Genomic DNA, 23,269 nt, shown 5'->3' on the forward strand with positions numbered 1-23,269 from the left:
CTCAAAAAAAAAAAAAAGAGTGCAGGCTCTGGAGTTTTGTGAGGGATTGGAATCCCAGTTTCCCTGCTTCTAGTAATGTGACCTTGGACATGCCAGTTTCTCTTGTTTAATCTGTTTTCTGATCTGCAAAATGAAGCAAGTAAGAGTAGATGTGATTATGCATGAGGAGCGTCTAGCACAGCAGTGTGCACACTGCAAGGTCCTGGGGACAGTTAGCTGTGGCAGTGAGCTCTTCGGTTTCATATTGTGGAGTCCCCTTGTCAGTGAAACTGTTTTTGCTTTTCTTTTTTTTTTTTTCGAGGCTGAGTTCCGCTTTTGTCACCCAGGTGGAGGGCAGTGGCGCGATCTCAGCTCACTGCAACCTTCACCTCCTGGGTTCAAGCGATTCTCCTGCGTCAGCCTCCCGAGTAGCTGGGATTACAGACGCCTGCCACCAGGCCCGGCTAATTTTTGTATTTTTAATAGAAACGGGGTTTCACCACATTGGCCAGGCTGGTCTTGAACTCCTGAACTCAGGTGATCCGCCCACCTCAGCCTCTCAAAGTGCTGGGATCACAGGCATGAGCCACCATGCCCAGCCTGATACTGCTGTTTCTACTATGTGCTTTTATTGCTGGTGAGTGATCCACGCCCTTGGACTAGCCCATGGTCAGGCATTATAATCAGGAAACACTTCCCCCCACAAGATGGGCCCCTCATAATTAACTGTTTTGTGGGAAGAGCAATGAAATGAATAGCGATTTGGTTAGAATCTATACCTGAATTGTTTAATGCTGTCACTAGCCACATGTGGCTGTTTAAATTTAATTAATAATTTAGTTCTTCGGTTCCACTAGCTACATTTCAAGTGCTAAAATAGCCACAAATGGTTAGTGCCTGCCATGTTGGACATTGCAAATATAAAACACACCATTGCAGAAGGTTCTACTGGAGAGCGTTGACCTAGACCTTACTGAAGGAGAATGAACCTTTTCCAGTAAAGGAAGGCCCGTTGATTCAGACTGTTGCAGCAACTGATCAGAATAGTGTGGAGATATTGGCAATTTTCCACTCCCCCTCACTCACTACAGACCCTTGATCCACTGGGTTGGGTAGACTTTGAATGGGCCCCTAGTGGTTTCTGCTGTGTGCCTTGGTTAAGAACCAGAGTTAACTTTGCTGAGGTGTGTCTTCCTTTGGTGTTACTGAAACAGTCAGTGTTGATGCTAGATAATAATTTTAGGAAGCAAAATGTAGAGCAGATTTATATTCACAATAATTTTATTTTTCAAATGTTCAAAATCAGGTACATTACAGGAATATCAGAAGAGAATGAAAAAACTAGATCAGCAGTACAAAGAGAGGATACGGAATGCAGGTAAGGCTCCTTTAAATGGCAATGAATCATCTTTCAATGTTTGACCATTTGCCGATCGTCGGTGTAATGCAGCCCTAAGAGCTATTCTCCAAAACATATCCCAGATACTCTGTCAGGGAGAGTTTTCAGAAAAGAGACTTCCAAGCTGCAGTTATGGAAAGTGGTTTCATCTTCTGCTTCTGTTGCTAAGGAATGGCCCAGAAGTGGAGGGTGTCTGAGGAGGCTCCTTGGAGTTAGGTTGTTCTCCCTGGTACCCCAAGAGTAGTCTTGCACCCTCTTGCTCATTTCTGCATGGCTGGCCTGATGTACAGTCAGAAGTGCGGATGAGGAAAAGGATTGTAGGTTGTTTTTGTCCCATTTTAAGTTTTTTTTTTTGGTATTTTGTGCTAGGATTGGGGAGGGTCTTCTTGTTATTTTCCCCAAGTATTGTTTTTATAAGAATTTAGAGAAAACGCACACTTGATTAGTTGTATACAGTAAATGTATTCATTCAACAAAAATGAATTGAGCACCTGCTACATCTAAGCACTGCGAGCAATATAAAGTCATGTAACACATTGCTTTGACTTTAGGACACTTGGTGTTTCATTGACAAAAGATACCACATGTATAACGTGTAAAGTTAAGGAACACCGAGTTAAAGAGCCATGCAGAAAGTAAGATGTGACAACTGTTTAAAGTGTGTAAACATGGATTCCTGAGGTTACAGGAAATCGCGTGTATGTGTTGAATTTTTAACGCTCATCATCAGCCAGCAGTTTGGGTGCCAGCAGAGTCCTTGTTCCTGCGATGGTAGAAGTAATGATGGGTTTTAAAATGAGGGTTGGGTGCCACTCCTCATGCTGCTGTCATCTTTCATTCTGGGCCAGTGACTCTCCAACGCTTCACTGTGTCTCCTCAGTGAGAAGCTGCCCAGTGCACACCAACAGAGAGAAAAGGGGTTGAAGTGTGGGTGGGCGCTGAGAAAGTGGAGCCCCAGCTATTAGCTGTCTGCCTTTCCACCTTCTACCTCTCCCTGCTGTTACCCCCTTTCTACTCTGAGTTCCTGAAGCACCTCCTTGAGATGTCTTGAAAATCCTCAACCGGTTGCTCTTCCTAGACTTCCCTTTTAGCAGATAAAGGAGGTGGCATTTGTGGAAGGAGGTCCTGCCTCCTCACTTTAGATCTGATCCTTTAAGCAGAATATTTGCTCTTGAAACCTCAATTTCTCCATCTGTAGAGGGGAATATTAATACCTCATGGAACTGGCATAAGATGGAAGTAAGGAAAGAAAATGGATGTGAGTCATATTTCTGAAGTTAGAACAGCAGAGTGAGTATTGAGTTGTTTTTCTTCATTCTGCTCAGACTCTCAATCATGTCCTCATGTGTTCTTTTTTTTTTTTGAGACAGAGTCTCACTCTGTCACCCAGGCTGGAGTGTGGTGGCGCTATCTCAGCTCACTGCAACCTCCACCTCCTGGGTTCAAGCGATTCTCATGCCTCAGCCTCCTGAGTAGCTGGAATTACAGGCGCCTGCCACCACACCTGGCTAATTTTGTATTTTTAGTAGAGATAGGTTTTCACCATGTTGGCCAGGCTGCTCTCAAACTCCTGACCTCAGGTGATCCGCCCGGCTCGCCTTGGCCTCCCAAAGTGCTGGGGTTACAGGTGTGAGCCAACGTGCCCGGCCCTCATGTGTTCTTTCACATTTCTCTCTCCTAGGTAAAAATGCAGAAGAGCTCCTAAATCAGTCACGACTTGAGCTTTAAAAAGCACATTCTTTTCAGAGATGATCCACCTGCTTTAGTGGTGTCTGGCTGCTTTAACTGAAACAACTGCCACCTCTAAGTGCTAATTGTCATTTTGACTTGGTGCAAGGCATGATTTCTCGGAATGGCACAGGACTTCAGCTGTCTGGCCCACTTGTGCATGGTACAGATCTGAAGCTGTTATAGGAATGATCACATTGGGTTGGGTGTGCCTGGGTTCCTATGCCCAGCAATTCCCAGTGCCAAAGTGGGTAGGACTTCTGGGGGCTAAAAAATAATGAGTGGCTTGTCCCTTTCCTCAGTTAATTTTCTCTGTCAACAACTGTTAACATCTGGGCTTTTAATCTGGGGTTCCTAGAACTGTCAGAATTCTGTGGAGTTTGTATATGTGCTTTGTTCTGGGGAAGGGGTCCATAGCATTTGCCAGGTTTGCAAAGGGGCCCCTGGTAGACTGAGAATAGCACACCCTGGAGAATCTTTGTGGACTGTACGCACAGCCCCCTGTCACCCAGGAAAGAGTAGAAGCCATGGAGCAATTTTGCTTCAAGTTGCGGGTTTGTAGACAGGTTTGTGCTCTATTGTAAATCTAGTGGTGAGGGGAGCTGCTAGGTAACAGTTACTAATCATCCGGCACATGGTAGGTGCTAACTAAGTTGTTGAGTGCTGTTAGATGGGTGCTTTAAGGCATCTGAAGGGCATGATGTGTGAAGAGTCAGCAGGAAAGGCCTCAGGAGGGGGCTGCATTCAGTCAGGAACTTGGGAATGTGAATAGGAGGTCAGAGGGCATTGCAGGGACAGACAGCGTGAGCAGAGCTTGGTGGCCTGACAGTGAAGCCCCAGGTGTCCCTGGAGCCTCTGTCCTATGGATTATCTGTGGAGGTCCTTCCTTACCACATATAGCCCTTCATATAGTGCTTTAAAAAGGAGGTCCTGGCCGTAGGCAGTGGCTCACGCCTGTAATCCCAGCACTCTGGGAGGCTGAGGCTGGCGCATCACCTGAGGTCAAAATTTCAAGACCCTCCTGGCCAACATGGTGAAACCCCGTCTCTACTAAAAATACAAAAATCAGCCAGGTGTGGTGGTTTGCGCCTTTAATCCTAGCTACTTGGGAGGCTGAGGCAGTAGAATTGCTTGAACCCAGGAGGTGGAAGTTGCTGTGAGTCGAGATCATGCCACTGCACTCCAGTCTGGGTGACAGAGCCAGACTCTGTCTCAAAAAAACCAGAACCCCCCAGAAAACCAGGGGTCTCCATCCTTCAGGCTGCGGACCACTGGGCTGCTTTCCCCCACCTGCCGCCTGCCCCCCTACCCTGCCCCAGCCCGTGGGAGAATTGTCTTCCACCGAACTGGTCCCTGGTGCCAAAAAGGTTGGAGACCACTGCTTTAAAACATCACATCCACTCTGTTTCTGGAGTAATTGCATTATTTCTTCTTGACCCATCCTGCCACTGTGGAGACTGTTGGCGGGTGGACTGAGTGAAAGATGGGATAAGTTTATTTTGCCAGGGGAGTTTGGTTCCTGCTGCACGTTTTTTGCCCTCAGGCAGAACTGCCACAGCTGATATGTTCAGGGCCACATTTTTTTTTTTTTTTTTGAGACCAGGTTTCGCTCTGTCACCCAGGCTGTAGTACAGTGGCACAATCTCAGCTTACTGCAACCTCTGCCGCTCAGGTTCAAGTGAGTCTCCTACCTGCCTCAGCCTCTCGAGTAGTTGGGATTACAGGCGCCTGCCACCATGCCTGGCTAATTTTTATATTTTTAGTAGAGATGGGGTTTCGCCATGTTGGCAGGCTGGCAGGGTCACATTTTAACTAGACTTGAGTACTTGTCATGTCCTTTCCCTTCGTGTATATCAACATTTCACTGATGAAAACATTTGCTTTGTAACATGCTTTCAGAAAGCAATTACTGCTTCTAAATGAATGCTAACATCACTGTCTAGAAAGGTGGCACAGCCTAGCAAATCTAATTGCACTTTTTATCTCTTGCAGAACTCTTCCTCCAGCTGGAAGTAAGTACCACGGATCTTCTGGGTTTGCAGGCCCTGTCTGAGACTGGAATCTTGCAGTCCTGATCTGGTGGCTTTTCCTTCTATCACCAAGTAGATAGTTTGGAAGCCTTCACCACTGTTCTGTTTGACTTAAGGACATTTGGTCTCAGCTCAGACATCCTGTCTGGTCATTTGTTGTTGCGCAGCCTCTGCTTATCACAGGGGAATAAGGAATACTCATCCCTAACTGCTTATTGACTTCTATCCCGTGTTAGAGCTGTTTGGAAGTCTCTGAGTTATAACGGCCTAATAGTTTGATATTGGTCCTTGAAGCAGTTCAATCTCTGAATTGGCTCAGCAGTTCTGTTTTACAGCTGCAACTCTCTGGGCCAGTAAAAAAAGACAGATTTCTAATTTTTCCTTTCATTCCATGGACACCTGAGTGCTGGTTCTGTGTCAGACTCTGTGCTGTGATACAGAGATGAGGGCCTGAATCTTGAATGATGTACTGCTCCCAGAGTGGCTAGCATGTGTGTGGGGGTTACTTTTTGAGAAAGTCATGGTTTTTCAGAGCCACATTATTGGAACCCAGTTTCCTTAAATCAGTGTGGTGCCCATAGTCACTCAGCCAGAAGGATCACGTGATCAGCCTGAAGGTACACTCAAGTGAGGTACTCACATCCTTAGCCCACCATAGGCCCCTATGTCAGTCACCACAATGGCGAGATTTGAAAAGCGGAGGCATATACAATTTTTGTCTTAGTATAATATCAATATATGTATACTTTGGGGTTCAGGCACTTACTAAATGTTGTTCCATTCTTTTGTCTTGCTGTATCAAAAATAATAGTAACTTTTTGAATATACACAATTTATCTAGAATCTATTTTCCTTTGAAGCTGTAACTTTATGAGCGATTATTTACTACCTTTGAGAAATGTGTTTTAGTATAAAATATAGGATGTGGAAGCGAAAAAATATCTGGGTAGCAAGTGAGGTGTACTCAAAAATAAGCAAAAGTCACGTGGGTCTGATTTTATACCCTCGCTGGAAAGCTTGTTCTCAGACACACTGTTACTGCAAGTGTGTGTGAGGGGGAAACTCTCACACACTTTGCAGTTGAGGACAGGGCTAGACTTTGAGTTGGAGCCCTGGCTCCCAGGGCTGTGTACTCCCAGCCCGTGTTTCTCTTTTGCTCAGACTGAACAAGTGGAACGAAATTACATTAAAGAAAAGAAGGCAGCAGTGAAAGAATTTGAAGACAAGAAGGTTGAGCTGAAAGAGAACCTGATTGCTGAGCTAGAAGAAAAGAAGAAAATGATTGAAAATGAAAAGCTGACAATGGAACTGACTGGAGGTAGGAAAGCCCTATGGGGTGGGATCTTGGGGGCCCTGAGCGGGGGGGTGTGAAGGGCTGTTCCAGTTACTTTTGTCTTACATTTCAAGAGCAGAGCAAGGTGGAGAGTGGGTTTTGACCTCATAGATCAGAGTTCCTCCTCCACCTTCTATTGGCTGTGTGACCTTAGTCAAGCTGCTTAACTTCTCTTTTCTCCTCTATGAAATGGGGCTGATCATACCCTCTCACAGGATTGTGGTTAGACATATGAGTGCCTAGTACAGTGTCCTGTGCATAACAGATGTTCAATAGTTGCTAGACCTTTAATAGTAATTGCAAGCTCTGGCTTAGACTCTACTTAATTCCTGGGTCTGCTGCCATTTGTATCTTGGTTATGTTCCCAAATTGCTTACGCAAGTCCCTCTGTGGTGATGGGAATCCCTCGCTTTGTTTTTTTCCAGTCTGCCTTAATTACAGAAAAGGTATTGTCTCCCTTTGACCTAGATGTAAGAACAAAGGCTTTTGGCTATATCCTCTATGCTATTAGATCTCTCCTGCCAGGTGTTACTGAACATTTCAGAAAGATTTGATATGATTCCAACAGGATAGCCAAACTGAACTAGTTTCCCATAAAGGTAGGAAAGTTACATGAGACTCAGAGCCAATGCCTTTCTAACCTTCTAGAATTTAGTAATCCACATATGGGAACTCAGCAGGTTGTAGGCAGGTTTCAGGGAGAAACAATATGGGCCAACTCTTCTGTTGCCATATGTAGACTGATGATTCCTAGAAGGATACAGGGAATTGGCTTGAACTAGCTATTTTGGAACTTGGCAAATACTGCAAGGCAAGTCAGTGGTGAGTTTGTCACTTGGATATGGAGGTGGCATGCCTTTCTGTACATCCCCAAATTTAACTCTTACAATTCGGAAAGTGCTGGGGCTCTGGTGTGTCTGATTTTAGCAGGGTTCTGTAGGAAATGCATGCAGTGTTTTTGTGGACGTTCTCAGGGCTGACTTTGAAATTAAAAGTAGCCAGTTAAGATCTTTGTTCCCCTCTATATATTCCTGGTGCTGTGAACCAGCTTGGCCTTCTGACTGACACAGACTTCTGGCTCCAATCCTCATGATACACTTAAGAGAATGTGGTTGTGCCTAAGGTGGGGTCTGACTTTTGAAAAATCTCTCTTCTGTTAGCTTCCTCATAGAGAGAGTTGGCAAAAGAAATGAGCTCCTTGAAGGCCTCTGAAAGCAGCTCAGAAATGTTTTTTTGTGAGAATGGATGCCAAAACAGCAGCTAACAGCAGCTTCAGGCAGTATAGTCTTGTTCTTGTGAAAGTGCTTATTTAATGAGACCAGTAGCACCGTGGTACCTTATCTGGTACCAGTCTGCCTGCCGGCTTTTGGACCTGCACACCATTTTCTCTGACAGTGGCTGTGACTGGCATTGATGCCTCATTGTTCTCTGCTAGAGCCACCAGATGTTTGGGAGCCTTCATTAGGCTAGTGGGAAATATTATCCGTTTACAGCTGCTCCCTTTCCGTCTGTGGGGAACGGGTATCATCACCTTACCTGTGATTTGGCGTCCTAATTATTGACAAGCGATAGACATTGTTTGGCCAGGCAGTTTTACAGCCAGAATCTTAACTGGGACAGGAGGCATCCTCAGTGACTTGAGGCTGAGCCTGCCAGGGTAGAAAAGACAAATAAATGTAGGGAAATCATTTGTAACGCAATAAAATAGATTACAGAAGTGTTTAAAGCTAGCCATGGGCATTAAAGGTATGGATGTCCTTCCTCAGGGCACCTTTGATACCCTTGGTATGGAAAGCACTGCCAAGGTAATGATGGAGTGTTGGAAGACAAGGTGCTGGAGCTAGAAGGGTAATTAACATTTCCACAGATGGCGCTGCTATGGTGTTGGATTAAAGGCTTGATTTCATTCCTCTAATTGAGTGACTTAGTTCATCTTTGTGGATTGATGCCCAATATCATTGTTGCCCAGCTCTGCCCTGAAAAATACTTTTTAAAGTCTCCTTTTTTGGTTCAACATGAACGTCTCTTGAAAAGCAAAGTAGGATAAGACGCTGATGAGAAGCTTAGTCTAAATAACCCACTGGAAACGGGTGTATTTGGCGACCTGCTCTTTCCCACCATGACTTAAAGCGTTTATAAACCTCCATAGGAATTGGCAGGATGTACTGTTCACCGCCCAAACCTCTTGTGGAAAACTGGGTTGTTCAGGTAGAAATGAGTAACTGTACATAGAGAAGCTAGGAAGAATTATAGGTCAGTGCATCCCAACTTCAATGTGTTAGGTCAGTGGGGTCTTGATAAAATGCAGATTCTGTTTCAGGGGCTTTGGAGTGGAGGCTGAGATCCTGCATTTCTTTCTTTCTTTTTTTTTTTTAAATTTAATTTTTTTTTGAGACCAAGTCTTGCTCTGTCGCCCAGGCTGGAATGCAGTGGCGCAGTCTCGGCTCACTGCAACCTCCACCTCCCATGTTCAAGTGATTCTCCTGCCTCAGCCTCCCAAGTAGGTGGGATTACAGGCATGCACCACCACGCCCGGCTAATTTTTGTATTTTTAGTAGAGACAGGGTTTCATCATGTTTGCCAGGCTGGTCTTGAACTCCTGACCTCAGGTGATCCGCCTGCCTCAGCCTCCCAAAGTGCTGGGATTGTAGGTGTGAGCCACCGTGCCCCGGCTGAGATCCTGCATTTCTAACCACCTTCCCCAGGGGTCGCTGATCCTGCTGGTTGATAGCTGATACCACAAGTCATTACAATGTCAAAATAGAAGTCTGTTTCCCAAGCACTTACACTGAGCCAAGCATTACATAAATATATTAGAGCTAACTTTGCAGGCTGATGGTCCAGGGCTGAATCCTGGCACTGTCACAGATTTAAATCTGAGGTAGGGTTTTCTCATTTGGCAAGGGGATGATAGAACCTACTGCAGAGGGTAGATGTGACGTGAGATGAGATAATGCCTATAAGTTGCTTCACAAAGTAGCTGGTTTACAGAGTGAACACTCAGGGATTGGGAACTCACTGAGTTCCCGCAGCTCCCTTTGACCTTGGGGGTATCGCTTCTGATTTTATAAATGGCAGAGGTGGCTCAGAGAAGTGGAGCCATTTGCTCACAGTCCCTCAGTGAGATAGATAGTGGTTCAGCCAGTGTCTGTCTCACTCCAAGCATATTCTCTTCACCACCACTACTACTGACTCTCTGCAGATACCATAGATACATGTGGTGGCACTAAGTGACTCACAAAATCAGGCTAATGGATAAAGTCTGTGTCTTCTAGGAGGCTATTTTCTGGTAGTTAGAAAGCTGACACAGCTTCCTTGACTTCCCCAAGGTAATGTGTTGAGATGGAGGGCCCCTAAATAAAGGTAACAATTTGACAGGCTTGTTTTTGACTCATTGATTTATTTAAAGACAGGGTCTCACTCCAGTTGCCAAGGGTGGAGTGCAATGGTGCCATCGGGGCTCACTGCAGCTCGACTTCCCAGGCTCAGGTGATTCTCCCACCTCAGCCTCCTGAGTAGCTGGGACTACAGGCATGTGCCACCTTACCTGGCTCATTTTTGTACTTTTTGTAGAGATAGGGTTTTGCCATGTTGCGTAGCTGGTCTTGAATTCCAAGGCTCAAGCAATCTGCCTGCCTTGGTCTCCCAAAGTGCTGGGATTACAGGAGTGAGCTACTACATCTGGCTTTTTTACTCATTTTAAAACCCTAAGATATATGTGGTTGTACTACTATAGGAGCAGTAAGTTTCACGCGTATGCAATAGATGCTAATGAGTAGCTATTTGGGTGTCAAGACAAGAGGAAGAGGCCCCACACAAATATCTGGAGAGGGAGAATGGAAGAGGTGACCTGGATTTTGGGCAGAGTGGGCCTTTCCTCAAGATGTTCTTTCCTGGTGCTGGCATTGTGGAATCAGGGTTTTTTTTTTTTTTTTTTTTTTTTTTTAAGACGGAGTCTCGCTTTGTCCCCCAGGCTGGAGTGCAGTGGCGCGATCTCGGCTCACTGCAAGCTCCGCCTCCCGGGTTCACGCCATTCTCCTGCCTCAACCTCCTGAGTAGCTGGGACTACAGGCACCCACCACCACGCCTAGCTAATGTTTTTGTATTTTTAGTAGTGATGGGGTTTCACTGTGTTAGCCAGGATGGTCTCGATCTCCTGACCTCGTGATCTGCCCTCCTCAGCCTCCCAAAGTGCTGGGATTACAGGTGTGAACCACCACGCCCGGCCAGAATCAGGTCTTTTAATGTGCTTGAGGGTGCAGAGAGGAAGGCTCGACTGGCTCACTGTTTATTGCTCTCCCTTCATAATGGCCAACTTTGGCTTTAAAGAGATTGGTCCCTTTATTCCTACTCTGATTTGGCCTCCAAAGACCTAACATTAATTCTTGTGGATTGATTGATTGATTGATTTTGAGACGTAGTCTAGCTCTGTCACCCAGGCTGAAGTGCAGTGCCACGGTCTTGGCTCACTGTACCCTCTGCCTCCTGGGTTCAAGCGATTCTCCTGCCTCAGCCTCCCGAGTAGCTGGGACTACAGGTGCGTGCCACCATGCCTGACTAATTTTTATACTTTTTAGTAGAGACGGGGTTTCACCTTGTTGGCCAGGCTGGTCTCGAACTCCTGACCTCAGGTGATCTGCCCAAAGTGCTGGGATTACAGACATGAACCACCGTGCCCAGCCCTAACATTCATTCTTATTCCCCACCCCCACAAACCTTAGGCGCTCTTCTGTTACCACCGCAGCATTAATTTGTGTCAACATTGATGGCGCCCTCCATCCTGCTAGAGAAGGGCATGATGTCTGCTAGGATTGCTCTGGGCTGCTAGTCTAGCCTATGGGTCCCTGCCCTGGTTTGGAGGTAATTGCCAATCTGCTATAATGTTTACTCTGCAGTGGATTTTCTTTCTGCCAGTTATATCCCATTTCTTTTTAAAGAAAATTTCCTTTTTAAATTTAAAGTACATTTAATTTTTTGAGACGGGGTCTTGCTCTGCCACCCAGGTTGGAGTGCAGTGGCACGATCTCAGCTCACTGCAACCTCTGCCTCCTGTGCTCAAATGATCCACCTCAGCCTCCCAAGTAGCTGGGACTACAGGCACCTGCCACCTAGCCCAGCTAGTTTTTTGTATTTTTCTGTAGAGATGGGGTTTTGCTCTGTTGCCCAGGCTGGTCTTGAACTCCTGGGCTCAAGCAATCCACCCTCCTTGGCCCCCCCAAAGTGCTGGCATTACAGGCGTCAGCCATTGCACCCAGCCTTATATCCCATTTTTTAAGGATGACCCTTTGAATCACTGCAATTAATATTTTTCCCAATAGATAAATATGAGCTTGTTTTAATAGTTAAAGTATGTTGCATTGAAGCTTTTCCTGCCGTTGTACACTATAGGCAGGTATGCTGTTGGAAATGAATGAATGGGCCTAGAGAAGTGCACAGCAAAAGGCCAGCCAGTAAACTGGTAATTGTATGTAAATTGCAGGTAATTAATTTATCAAGAATATCTCTCCAGAGGGACTGTGCTATAATGACTCTACCACCTAGCATTGCTTCAACCTGAGCTCCCATTTTTTAGATGTCGGAATCTGTGCTCCCTGTGGTGAGGGGTGAGGGGGTTCCTGTATCCATCAGGTTTCCTAGTGAGTAGAACAGGAGGATTTGCACTATTAAAAGTCATATTGCAGGGTGGTTTGGAGAGGAGTTATATGCCTAGTCTTGTTGCTTGTTTGATGTTTTTTCTCACATAACGCTCTCTCAAGTCTGCTTTAAGTGCTTGATGTTTAATGATAAAATAGTATCTCCACTGAAGCAAACCTATGAGGAGACCTCTGGATCAGAGAGGGTTTCTAATTTCAGCCAGTTCGAGTTTTTTTATGGTTGGTGCATGATGTCGGAGAGGAAGCCTGACTGAATCCCTGCTCAGGTGTCTTCTCTGGGGTTGTCACACCCCAGGGTCTGAGCTTCAGTTCTGGAAGTTTGATTTTTGTCAGTGTAGCCAGATTGAGCGTCTTGGGACTCTTAGAGTCCCAGTCATAGGAGATTGATGGTAAAACTCAGGATACCAGCTCGTTGCTTACAGTGAGAAATAGAACTTCCAGGTGCACTCAGACCTGGGTTGTCAGACTCCATCCTTCTATGAAAAATCCACCGTAAAAGCCAACTAGACCAACCTGGCGTTGGAGCAAGGTGACTTAAGTGGATAATCTTACTGTGTCTGTTGGGGCTGTGATACATGTTGATCATGGCCTCAAATCATGTTTTCCACCTGGGCTATTGGCCAGGACTGCTCCCTTCTGTCTCCTCTTTCCTAGATGGAGATGGAGACATGCTGATAAGTTTTAGGGGCTTCTCCAGAGTCTCTTCCTTCTGCAAAGCAGTCTTTTGGATAAAATTAATCAGATTGTTGCTGTGACCAGGCTAATAAAATAGATTTTTTTTTTTTTACCATTTCATAAGAATTTGATTGTATTTTTTGGTTTGTAAGTGATACAGTTATGATTTTCAGAGTTCAGTGGCCGTGATTGGCCTTTACTTGGCTTACATCCATCATGCATTGTCCACCCTCCCCACTCCCCAGTCTTGGCAGCCTGTGGAGCAGAGCACACTCAGCCACTCTCTTTGGCAGACAGAACATTCCATAATGTTCATGGGCTATGTGCTTTTCCTTTGGTGCTCTCTTGGGTTGGGTGAGCTCCCTTTACACTTTATTTTCCAAATTAGGTGTCAGTGTTGCACAGCCTCACAGTTGACATCAGCTGCTTTCGACTATGTAACTTTTTTTCAGCTCTTTGTGCCTTGAGTTTTAAAAAGGATCTTTGTATAGTTTTTTCCTGCCTGAAAATATAATAATAAAAACTAGCATTGATAGAACTCCCGTTACGCCAGGCACTGTGCTAAGATTTCACACATATCATCACATGTAACCCTCACGGCGCACTGTGGGGGAGGCATTATTGATACTTCTATTCTCTAGATGAGGACACGTGAGACATACAGCACTTACAAACCTGTGTTAGGTCACACAGCCGTTGCAGGGATTCAAACGCACGTTTGTGTGACACTCCAGCTCTTAACTGTGGTGCTGTGTCACTGGCCAGTAACTAACTGGAGAAGGGTGGCACCTCAGCATAGGATAGGAGATTTCTTTTAGGGAGAAGCCTTCACCACTTGTTTCTGGTGTGTGTGTGTGTGTGTTTATACTTCCAAGTACACTTTTATAAATATTCATTAGGGCTTTGGTTCTTATTTTACCTCTATTCCATTCATAGGAAAAAAATATTTAATACTGCCCATTTCTCTTAAGAGCAACATGCAGAAGCCTTTTTTTTTTTTTTTTTTTCAAATTTTCTGTGGCACATGTATGACATGCTCTAAGATCCTGCACACTGCTTGGTAGAATTCCCTGAAGCTGCCCTGCCTGTTCTGCTGATTGTGTGCATAATCACAAATTAACTTCCTCCCATGATCAGACTTGACCTCATCTACCCGTTCTGCACAAAACATTATGCACCCCTACTGTGCCAGACTATTGCTAGGTGTTGGGGTGGAATTCAGACATCCAAAGGGGTAGGTAATGACCTGTACACCGTGGCACTTGGTCTACTTGAGGTTTGTATAGATGCTCTGGTTACTTGGAGGATGGAATGAGTTTCTGCCTTTGAAACCTGTTACAGAAGGGAGAGGGTATTAAACTGACTTTCAACGGGTATTATGTAGGAGTTTGCTGGGCAGAAAAGAGGAAGCTAGACAGAGGAGAGCCATGCAAAGGCTTGAAGGCGTAAAGTCTGGTGCCCTTGGGTAACAGGATAGCTAAAGGCTTGCACACGGTGTAAGCGTGAATGAAGAAGAAGGGAGGAAGACCAGAAATGAGGCCTGGCTTATATCCTGTGGAGAGTGGTGAGCCATTGAAATATTTAGTAAGAAGATGGCTGGGTGTGGTGACTCAGCCTGTAATCCCAGCACTTTGAGAGGCTGAGGAGGGCGGATCACTTGAGGTCAGGAGTTTGAGACCAGCCTGGTCAATATGGTGAAACCCTGATTCTACTAAAAATACAAAAAATTAGCCGGGTGTGGTGGCGCATGCTGTAGTCCCAGCTACTTGGGAGGCTGAGGCATGAGACTCGTTTGAACCGGGGAGGCAGAGGTTGCAGTGAATGAAGATCGTGCCACTGCACTCCAGCCTGGGTGAGAGAGTGAGGCCCTGTCTTGAAAAAATAAGAAATATTTAGTAACAAGAGTGATACACAAAACGATCTGATTTGTGTCTCAGGAAGATCACTTTGAGGGAGGGGAGGATGGATGGGACATGGGAAAGACCACTGAAGGCCGTGGAGGTAGCCAGTGAAAGGATGAAGGGATGGAGTGGAGGCAGGACCAACATTAGTTGGTGAACCTCATGCCTGGATGAAGGAAGACAAGTCACAGATGCAGATTTGTTCTCGCATGGAAGGAGGGATAGATTGGATGTCCCTGAGATACAGGAAAAGAAGCAACCTTGGGAGAGGAAACGAGGAGAACTGAGTTTTTGTGGGGCATGGAGAATGTGTGGTGTCAGGTATCTATTGCCATTCAGAGGGATGTGTGGAGCTGGAAGTGGTGATTGCAGATTGGTTGGGATACAGTCTGAAAGGAACTGACTGGACCCCAAAGATGATCAGTATTCAGGGAGCAGACAAGCGAACCCCGAGGAGGCAGGTTCACCTCCTTGTGCGCCACCTCTTGGGAGGAGCTATTTGAAGGCGTGGGGAGTCAGCAGCAGTGTGAGACCACAGAGAGGAGTGAAGAAGAAGGGAAAGAGGCTTTTATTGTGAGCCCTCATTGTGTCATCTTGATAGTCAAGTAGCTACAAAAGGTTATAGAGAAAAAAAATCCGAGTCTGTAAATGAAAACTTCGTATAAAAATGTTGGCACTGAGGCCAGTGGCCTCTAAAAGAGCCTTTCATACCAATGGGCTTCAGCACACCCACCCTCTTTGGGAGCTGCAGAAATTAGTCAGCTGAGATGACCTTCAGGTTCCTTCCTATCCCGAGAGCCTGTGACTCTGGGCTTCTTAATTTGAGGGAGAGGAGGAATATCCCCTAGGTTTTGAGGGTGCTGGAGAGATGCCCACAGTGGCTGTAATGCTTGACGGTAGGGCTGCATTTCTGAGAGGGGTGTGCACTTAGGGCAGCTGGTCTGAATCTTACAAGTATAAACGCTTTCTAAAATCTAATGGGGTGTCTGGCTACGACCATGTGTAGAACAAACACCCCCAGTAAAACAGTTCTGATTGGGTGGCTGGGGGGCAGATATTCTTATACTATAGAAATTCTTACTGACTTCAAGTGGGAGTTGGATAGATTTACCCATTCCATTCTTGCCACAGATTCTATGGAGGTGAAACCTATCATGACCAGAAAGTTGCGGAGGCGACCAAATGATCCCGTCCCCATCCCAGACAAGAGGAGGAAACCTGCTCCAGATATCCATTTACATCAAGCCTTAACCGCCTTTCTTTTTTAAGACTGTGGAATCCTATGTTTATCCGTTTGCTAGGGTACACATGGCCGTTGTCCTACAGAAAATAGTAACATTTAACTGGAAAGCGTGTGTTAAATGTTTGTCCACAGGTCAGGGGTTGCTCATTTTATCATGGTAGTCCTCATTTGCTACTGCTTTTGGTGGGAGAGATGTATAGAGTTGTGATTTGGAAAGGTGCTTTGCATGCAAAGTTCAGCCTGGTTTTAATGCTAACATCAAGATTCAGGGGCATCTGAAAACTTGATGTGCCTTAATTTTTTCACCTGTAATTTTCCACCTTCCAACTGTAAAATGAAGGCAGTAATATCTACCTTTATGTACCTCTGTTATCTATGTCCATAATGTAGTGGATTGCAACCTGTTTTTAAATTAAAGCAAATGAGATTTCAGTCAGACATAAAGCAGCCCTTTAATCATAAAAATGGTAACGGAAACAGGAAAGATGGAGAAGCGTTGTTTCTGTTCCTTTCGAGGAGATGGTGAATAGCTCTCTGCCCAAAATGGCTTAGTCATTTGTGTACCATCAGGAAAGGGCATAACTTCAGGTTGCTTCTCCTTCACAACAGGAGTTAAGTTGCTGAGGGAAGATTGGCCTTACCTTGGGTGAGTGTGTGTGGAAGTCTTTAGATCTTTGGAACAAAAGCGCTTTATACATTCATGATGAAATTCTTATTTTACTGTTTCCTTTGCTGTGTTATTGTAGATGCCTAATGAAGCTCATTCCACCTTCTCATCCTAGCAGTGGGGGATGTGAATTCTTTTATGTATTGAAGTACCATGACATTTAGTAGGAGAATCATAAATTTCTAAGAAGCAAACTGTTACTGTAGAAACATCATTTAACAAAATCATACTTTGTAAATTCTAAAATACTGGTACCATTGTGTTGATTACTCTTTGCCTGGAAACTGTACTTTTCACATACAGTCCTTTAACTCTCAACACCCCAGCTAAACTATTTGTTAACAGATGAACAGATCATGGAGGATCTGAGAACATTAAATAAGGTACGGTTTGACTTTTTTGATTTATTTGAAAACTCAGGCTTTTGTGGTTTTCTGATTTTGTTTGTTAACATGTTACTTGTTAATCATTATGATACCTTTGACACCTGAAGTTGCACCTGAAATGATTTTCTCTAAGATTTTTTGTTGTTGTTCTTCCTACAGCTTAAGTCACCCAAGAGACCAGGTGAGTGCATGATGTGTTGGCATTTGTGCAACCTTTTTATCATGTTGTTGGAAAAGGGTGTGAATACCTGTCAGGAAATGGTTGCAATTTTCAAAAATGAAATGTTCATCATTTGCCTAAGAGTAGTCATCATGAAAACTGAAGGGGACCTTAACTATACCCCTCCCTGATTTCTTTTTTTTTCATAACCCCTGCTTTGTTGTTTTTATTTTTTTCTTAGGATTTATCATAAAAGAGACATTTGATTGATTGATTGATTTCCTTCTGTGTAGGCATCAGGCATAAGATTTAAGTACACATCCATTTTTGAAAATGAAACCAGAAGGATTTTTAAGTATTACTGGCTTTCTAAAGCCAAGTCCTAGGCAGTTCTGCTCCCGTGGCTTTTCGTGGCCTGACTCTGGTAAGGCATTCCAAGGCTGCTCTGACTCGCAGTTCATAGAAGAGACCAACCAGCTCAGTATTCATAGTTGTTCCTTCCGGAACAGCACTTGAGATCATCAGTGCTAGCTGCCAACTAGAATTCTGAATTGGTGACATCTTTTTTTTGTTTAAAGCACCATGATTACTCGATTACTCGATTACTCACACATCCCTCTACTTACTGAGTCTTGTGGAAGAAAACAAGAGTCTTCTTTTTCTAGGTAATATCTTCCTGGGGGCCACTGCGGTCCACAGACATCCTGACCTTCTGAGGCACGATGGGGAGGGGTGAGGGAGTTGTGTGAGTGTAAAGTTAGTAGTTCTTTAAGTGATTCCTTTTTTTTTTTTTTGGATTATGGAGTCTTGCTCTGTCGCCAGGCTGGAGTGCAGTGGCGTGAACTCGGCTCAGTGCAACCTCCGACTCCCAGGTTCAAGTGATTCTCCTGTCTCAGCTTCCCAAGTAGCTAGGACAACAGGCATGTGCCACCACACCCAGCTAACTTTTGTATTTTTACTAGAGATGGGGTTTCACCATGTTGGCCAGGATGGTCTCATCTGTTGACCTCGTGATTCACCTGCCTCAGCCTCCCAAAATGCTGGAATCACAGGTGTGCGCCACCGCACCCTGCTGAAAACGATTGCATTTTTAAGAGATTTTCATAATACTTGCCCTTTGATCACCAGGGCTTTAGTCCTACTCTAAGTGACCTTATGTATTTGCACATTTGACCTTAATCTTCCTGAAACCCAGGTGTCTCTTCCATTTGAGAGGCTAATCTGCCTTGCCTACTTCCCAGGGTTGCTTTGATGATCAAGTTTAGATGGAATATACAAGAGTTTTGCTGAAATCCCATGCATTATCACTGTAAGGGCTCAGTGATGATTATTACCACATTCTGATAGTGTTTCAATTAAAGCATGTTAACTGGTAGACTCGCATGTGTTTGTTACATTCTTAGTCACGTAAGTATTGGTTTCCTCCAGCATCTCCATCCTCTCCTGAGCACTTGCCTGCAACACCCGCGGAATCTCCAGCCCAGAGGTTCGAAGCTCGGATAGAAGATGGCAAACTGTACTATGACAAAAGATGGTATGTTATGGGAAAACCTGGACTAGTAAGAGTCTCATATGAACCACTTGGAAAGAGGGCTGGGGCTATTGTAGTTATTTCAGATCACGGCTGCTGCTAAACTTACATAGTACTAAAAGTAGAAACCCATTAAAAAATGTATTAGCAGTCATTTAATCAATACTTCCGGTGGATCTTTGAAAGCAGCGTTTCCCAAAACCATGTTCTGCTCCCCTTCCTTCTCCATTCTGGTGTCTCTGTACTAGAATTTGCAGGCTGGTATCTTGTGTGGTACCCCTGCCAACTGGGGCTGGGGTGTATGTCCCCCCTCTGACCCCTCTTACCTCTGCTCCTGTGTGCTAAGGTTAATAGGTGCTCTTCGGATTAAAGGATTTTGTGGTCAAATCAGTTTGGGGGATGATCATGTTAATTAAGATAAGTGGGTTGCTCCCTTGTAGTACCCTTTGGGTCCTGCGATATGCTAATGTACACTGTGAATTTCTAAGATGTTATTAGATGTTTTTTGATGACACATACCCTTTTTTCTTACATGATCCAGCTGCAAAAGTGGTCAAGGACACTTGCTTGGGGGAACTGTATCCTAAAACATTCCTAGTTTGTTTTTTGTTTTTTGAGACGGAGTCTTGCTCTGTCGCCAGGCTGGAGTGCAGTGGCGTAATCTCGGCTCACTGCAACCTCCGCCTTCCAGGTTCAAGCGATTCTCCTGCCTCAGCCTCCCGAGTAGCTGGGATTGCAGGCACCCGCCACCATGCCCAGCTAGTTTTTGTATTTTTAGTAGACACGAGGTTTCGCCATGTTGGCCAGGTTGGTCTCGAACTCCTGACCTCACATGATATTACTGCCTTGGCCTCCCAAAGTGCTGGGATTACAGGCATGAGCCACTGTGTCCTGCATTCCTGGTTTACATTGAAGACTCTTTGAAACGTTCAGACCGCCTAGCATTTTTCATTGGAAAGGTAATGGCAAAACAGTATGAAAGAACCTTAAAAGCTCATACTTTTGTTCATTCAACAAACATTTCTTCTGTTCTGTATTACGCTTTCTGCTAGATATGAAATGGATACTGCCATCATTTCTCAGGTCTTTTCATTCTGATATATTTCTTTTTATTCTTTATCCATATGCAGGCATAGTCTATTCATTCTAAGGCATAGTGGACATACGGTTTGCTTTGCCTTTCTGTTTGGTTATATTGAGAATGTTTTTCTGGGTTACTGTAAGGTGTCTCATTATCATTTATAATGGCTATATAATGACCCTTTGAGTTTCAGTATCTAACCAAAAGTTCCAAAATTGGGGTAATGATTATTTATTTTGAATTCTTAAAAAAACCCAGCATTGTGTTAGGTTGGTTACCCGATAACATTGTACTTGTCAAAAATGCTTAGGGTTCTAGTCATGGCCGAAGTAAATCATTTCCACCTATTAAGTTGCAGTGAGTTAATTGCCCAGTAGATGCTGGAGGCTGGCTTTATCTCTAAGGCTGATCTTGATGACTTCTTCCCCTCTGAGTTGGTGTTCTTTGGCATTCTTCAGAAAGGTCGGTTTGTGTTATATCTTAACATTATGTCTCAGAACACATCGCCACTAGGTGGCAGGCTCTAACAGCTTAACACTGAGAAGGGCAAAATGAGATGAAAAATGTTTCTAATAATGAAAACCAAATAACCTTTAAAGATCAAGCCCACACATAAGAACCATCTTTGAAAATGATGAGATTTATCACTAACATTTTTACAAATCTATGAGTCTTAAAGCCATGTGATATTTCCAGTGATGTTCATTTTGTAATTGTGTTGCTTTGAATCTTCCTCTTTCTAAGCTTAATCCTCAGACTTTACGAGACATGTCTTGAGGGTGAAAATGCAGTAAAATAAAATTCTTGTTTTTTTAAAGAAGAGATCCACAATGTCTGGTGTTTCCTAATGTAAACAAAATGATCAGATTTGATGTGTTAGAACTCCTAAGCATTTTGAAGGAATTTTCACCATCTTTCTTACATTAACAGCAGAAATTTAGAAAATAATGTCACTGGATGCATTTTACTTTTTCAGTGAAATTGAAATTGCTTATTCTCTTGTTAAATATACTTTGAGAATGTTGTTTTTTTTCTCTATTCTGTATACTTTTCATTTTTGGCCTTGGCAGTCAGAGATCATAATGCAGTTGTTGAAGGTGGGTCTCCCTCTTCCCCAATGACAATTGAAAAGTGTTCCTGGGAATACTGGCTGAGGTGTTCACTGGTGCAGTGCCAGCCTCTCCCATCTCACCAGGCTCATGTTTGGCTTTTGTATCAGTTTGGAGGTTTTGTTTTTCTTTCTTTGGCAGACGTGGCCTGTGGCTGAGAGGTCAGCTACATTGCTTTATGCTCTTTCCAGAGGGTATGGAGTATTTTGGTGCAGCCGTATTTTTGGCAGAAGATGTCTTCCTGAGTTTTAAATGACTTCAGCAAAACAAATGGGATTCAGGCATCGCATCTTGGTGTGAATACTTGCCAAGCTCCCTTTCATTTTGAAAGATAAGGATCTTCCCTTTGCCTTGGTCTTATACTGCTTTTAAGGCATTCTATATCATGCTATGTAAATTTGCCTCACATTTTGATTTGGACTAATGATCTCTCAAAAAATACTGTGAAAAAGTAGCTGATATTTGAAAATAACTAATTGATGGTACGGGTGGACTTCTGTTTTTCTCTCCTTGTTTTAAATCTGGGGCTGCCTGTGAGTCAGAAACGAAGCCACCCACTTGCTCAAGAGCATTTTCCCCTTCAGCCTTCGGTCGACACAAAAGACTTAAAACAGTGAATATTTACCAGTAGAATTGGGACTCCTTGAGGTTCTGTAGCTATAACGTGGACTCACTTATTGGGGAAATAAAGTGTTAATACCAGGATTCTCAGTAGGATACAAAATTAAATTAATTTTCCTACCTCCTCGCCCCACTTTTGTGTCCACCTTCTTAAGAAATTGCTTTTCGAAAATAGTACAGTAGTGGTAATTTCTAGTTTTGTTCGGTTTAATAGTAGAGGTTCAAAGCTTTAAGAACTTAATTGTAGAGATTCCCAGGTCAGAATTTCCATTAGTTACAAAGTAATAGAGTCAGTTTGACATTTGGGGCTTAGTCTTTGAGGCTATTTAAATATCTTTTTTCAGCAGCTGAGTTGCAGCTTGTAAAACAGGTTAATTGGCCTAAAAAAAAAACGCACATTTTTACTACCCTGTTGATGTTGCTTCGTAGCACATTTTATATCTAAACATATTTTTAAATTTCTTCCCCCCCCTTTGATTTTTCTTTAGAAATTAAAAAGTAAATTCTTATGTTAAGGTTGTCACATACTTCTTGGTTTCATCTTTAACCGCCCCCGCCCCCCCATATGAACACTTCATTTTTTATTTTTTTGAGACAGGGTCTCACTGTCCCCCAGGCTGGCATGCAGTGGTGTGATCATAGCTCACTGGAGCCTTGATCCCCCTGGCTCAAGCGATCTTCCCACTTTGGCCTCCCGAGTAGCTGGGACTACAGTCCTCCATTACCATGCCTGGCTAATGTTTTTTTGATTTTTAGTAGAGATGAGGTCTTGCTATGTTGCCCAGGCTGTCCTCAAACTCCTGAGCTGAAGTGATCCTCCTGCCTCAGCCTCCCAAAGTGCTGGGATTACAGGTATGAGCCCTGAACACTTTAATATCTAAGGACTTATCTTTTCAGAGAATTCAAATAATTTAATAGATTTGGTATCTAGGGATAATGGTTCCCCCAAGACATCGTGTAGTGCATGAGGATCCCTTGAAGGTCTCAGAGACTGCGGTTCAGGAGGGACCTGGTGATCAGTTGGTTTGGAAGTTGGCTGCTTTGGGAAGCATGTTGGCCACCTCTACTTTGGAGCAAATAGGGACCAATGGTGGACATTCAGGCCACCACCATTCAGTGATTCCAAAGGAGGCGGATCTGGGAGGTGGCCACATTCCCAAGTTCCAGACCACTTCCCAGAGGTAATAGACCAGCTTGCATTGTTTACTCTGGGTGTTCGCTTTTAAGTCAGTTGAATTTCTTGGGTTTGGGTTCTAAGTACCACTGAAGGAAAATACAATGCATCTCATGAGAATTGTTGGAATAGCCTTCCAGAGTCAGCTGTTTTCTTTAAAAGACCTTTGTGAGGATATGATACATGGATACACATGTAACATGTATATGTGTTATTTTTGGTTTTTTTTTTTTTTTTGAGACAGAGTCTCGCTCTGTCGCCCAGGCTGGAGTGCAGTGGCGCAATCTTGGCTCACTGCAGACTCCGCCTCCCAGGTTCAAGCGATTCTCCTACCTCAGCCTCCTGAGTAGCTGGGACTACAGGCACACGCCAATATGCCTGGCTAATTTTTTGTATTTTATTTATTTATTTATATTTTTTGAGACAGAGTCTCGCACTGTCACCCAGGCTGGAGTGCAGTGGCGCCATCTCAGCTCACTGCAACCTCCGCCTCCCGAGTTCAAGCTGTTCTCTCCCTCAGCCTCCCAAGTAGCTGGGACTACAGGCACCCGCCACCACGCCCAGCTAATTTTTGTATTTTTAGTACAGACGGGGTTTC

The 23,269-nt window shown here is 44.2% G+C and overlaps 1 protein-coding gene across 6 annotated transcripts in view, besides 1 other annotated feature; it reads left to right on the forward strand.

Annotated features, from left to right (window-relative positions):
* SUDS3 (SIN3A corepressor complex component SDS3) overlaps positions 1–23,269 on the forward strand; it is a 41,479-nt gene that overhangs the window by 8,274 nt on the left and 9,936 nt on the right. For 3 of the 6 annotated variants that reach the window (NM_022491.3, XM_017019817.2, XM_047429356.1), the window contains 7 exons: positions 1,286–1,357; positions 5,099–5,118; positions 6,298–6,454; positions 15,831–15,926; positions 16,931–16,992; positions 17,155–17,176; positions 18,584–18,689. In NM_022491.3, coding sequence (NP_071936.2) covers positions 1,286–1,357; positions 5,099–5,118; positions 6,298–6,454; positions 15,831–15,926; positions 16,931–16,992; positions 17,155–17,176; positions 18,584–18,689 — 535 coding nt within the window. Of the gene's footprint in view, positions 1–1,285; positions 1,358–2,576; positions 3,270–5,098; positions 5,119–6,297; positions 6,455–15,830; positions 15,927–16,930; positions 16,993–17,154; positions 17,177–18,583; positions 18,690–23,269 lie in introns of those variants that run through there. The other 3 variants (XM_047429358.1, XM_047429357.1, XM_047429355.1) reach the window with 3 other exon arrangements.
* Positions 20,170–20,219: an enhancer, noted in NCBI's record as "active region_7112". NCBI's record gives its function as "activates an Ori minimal core promoter by ATAC-STARR-seq in GM12878 lymphoblastoid cells {active_cell/tissue: GM12878}" and the evidence as "EXISTENCE:reporter gene assay evidence [ECO:0000049][PMID:35858748]".

Source organism: Homo sapiens, chromosome 12 (genome assembly GCF_000001405.40).
Source record: "Homo sapiens chromosome 12, GRCh38.p14 Primary Assembly".
Lineage (NCBI taxonomy): Eukaryota > Metazoa > Chordata > Mammalia > Primates > Hominidae > Homo > Homo sapiens.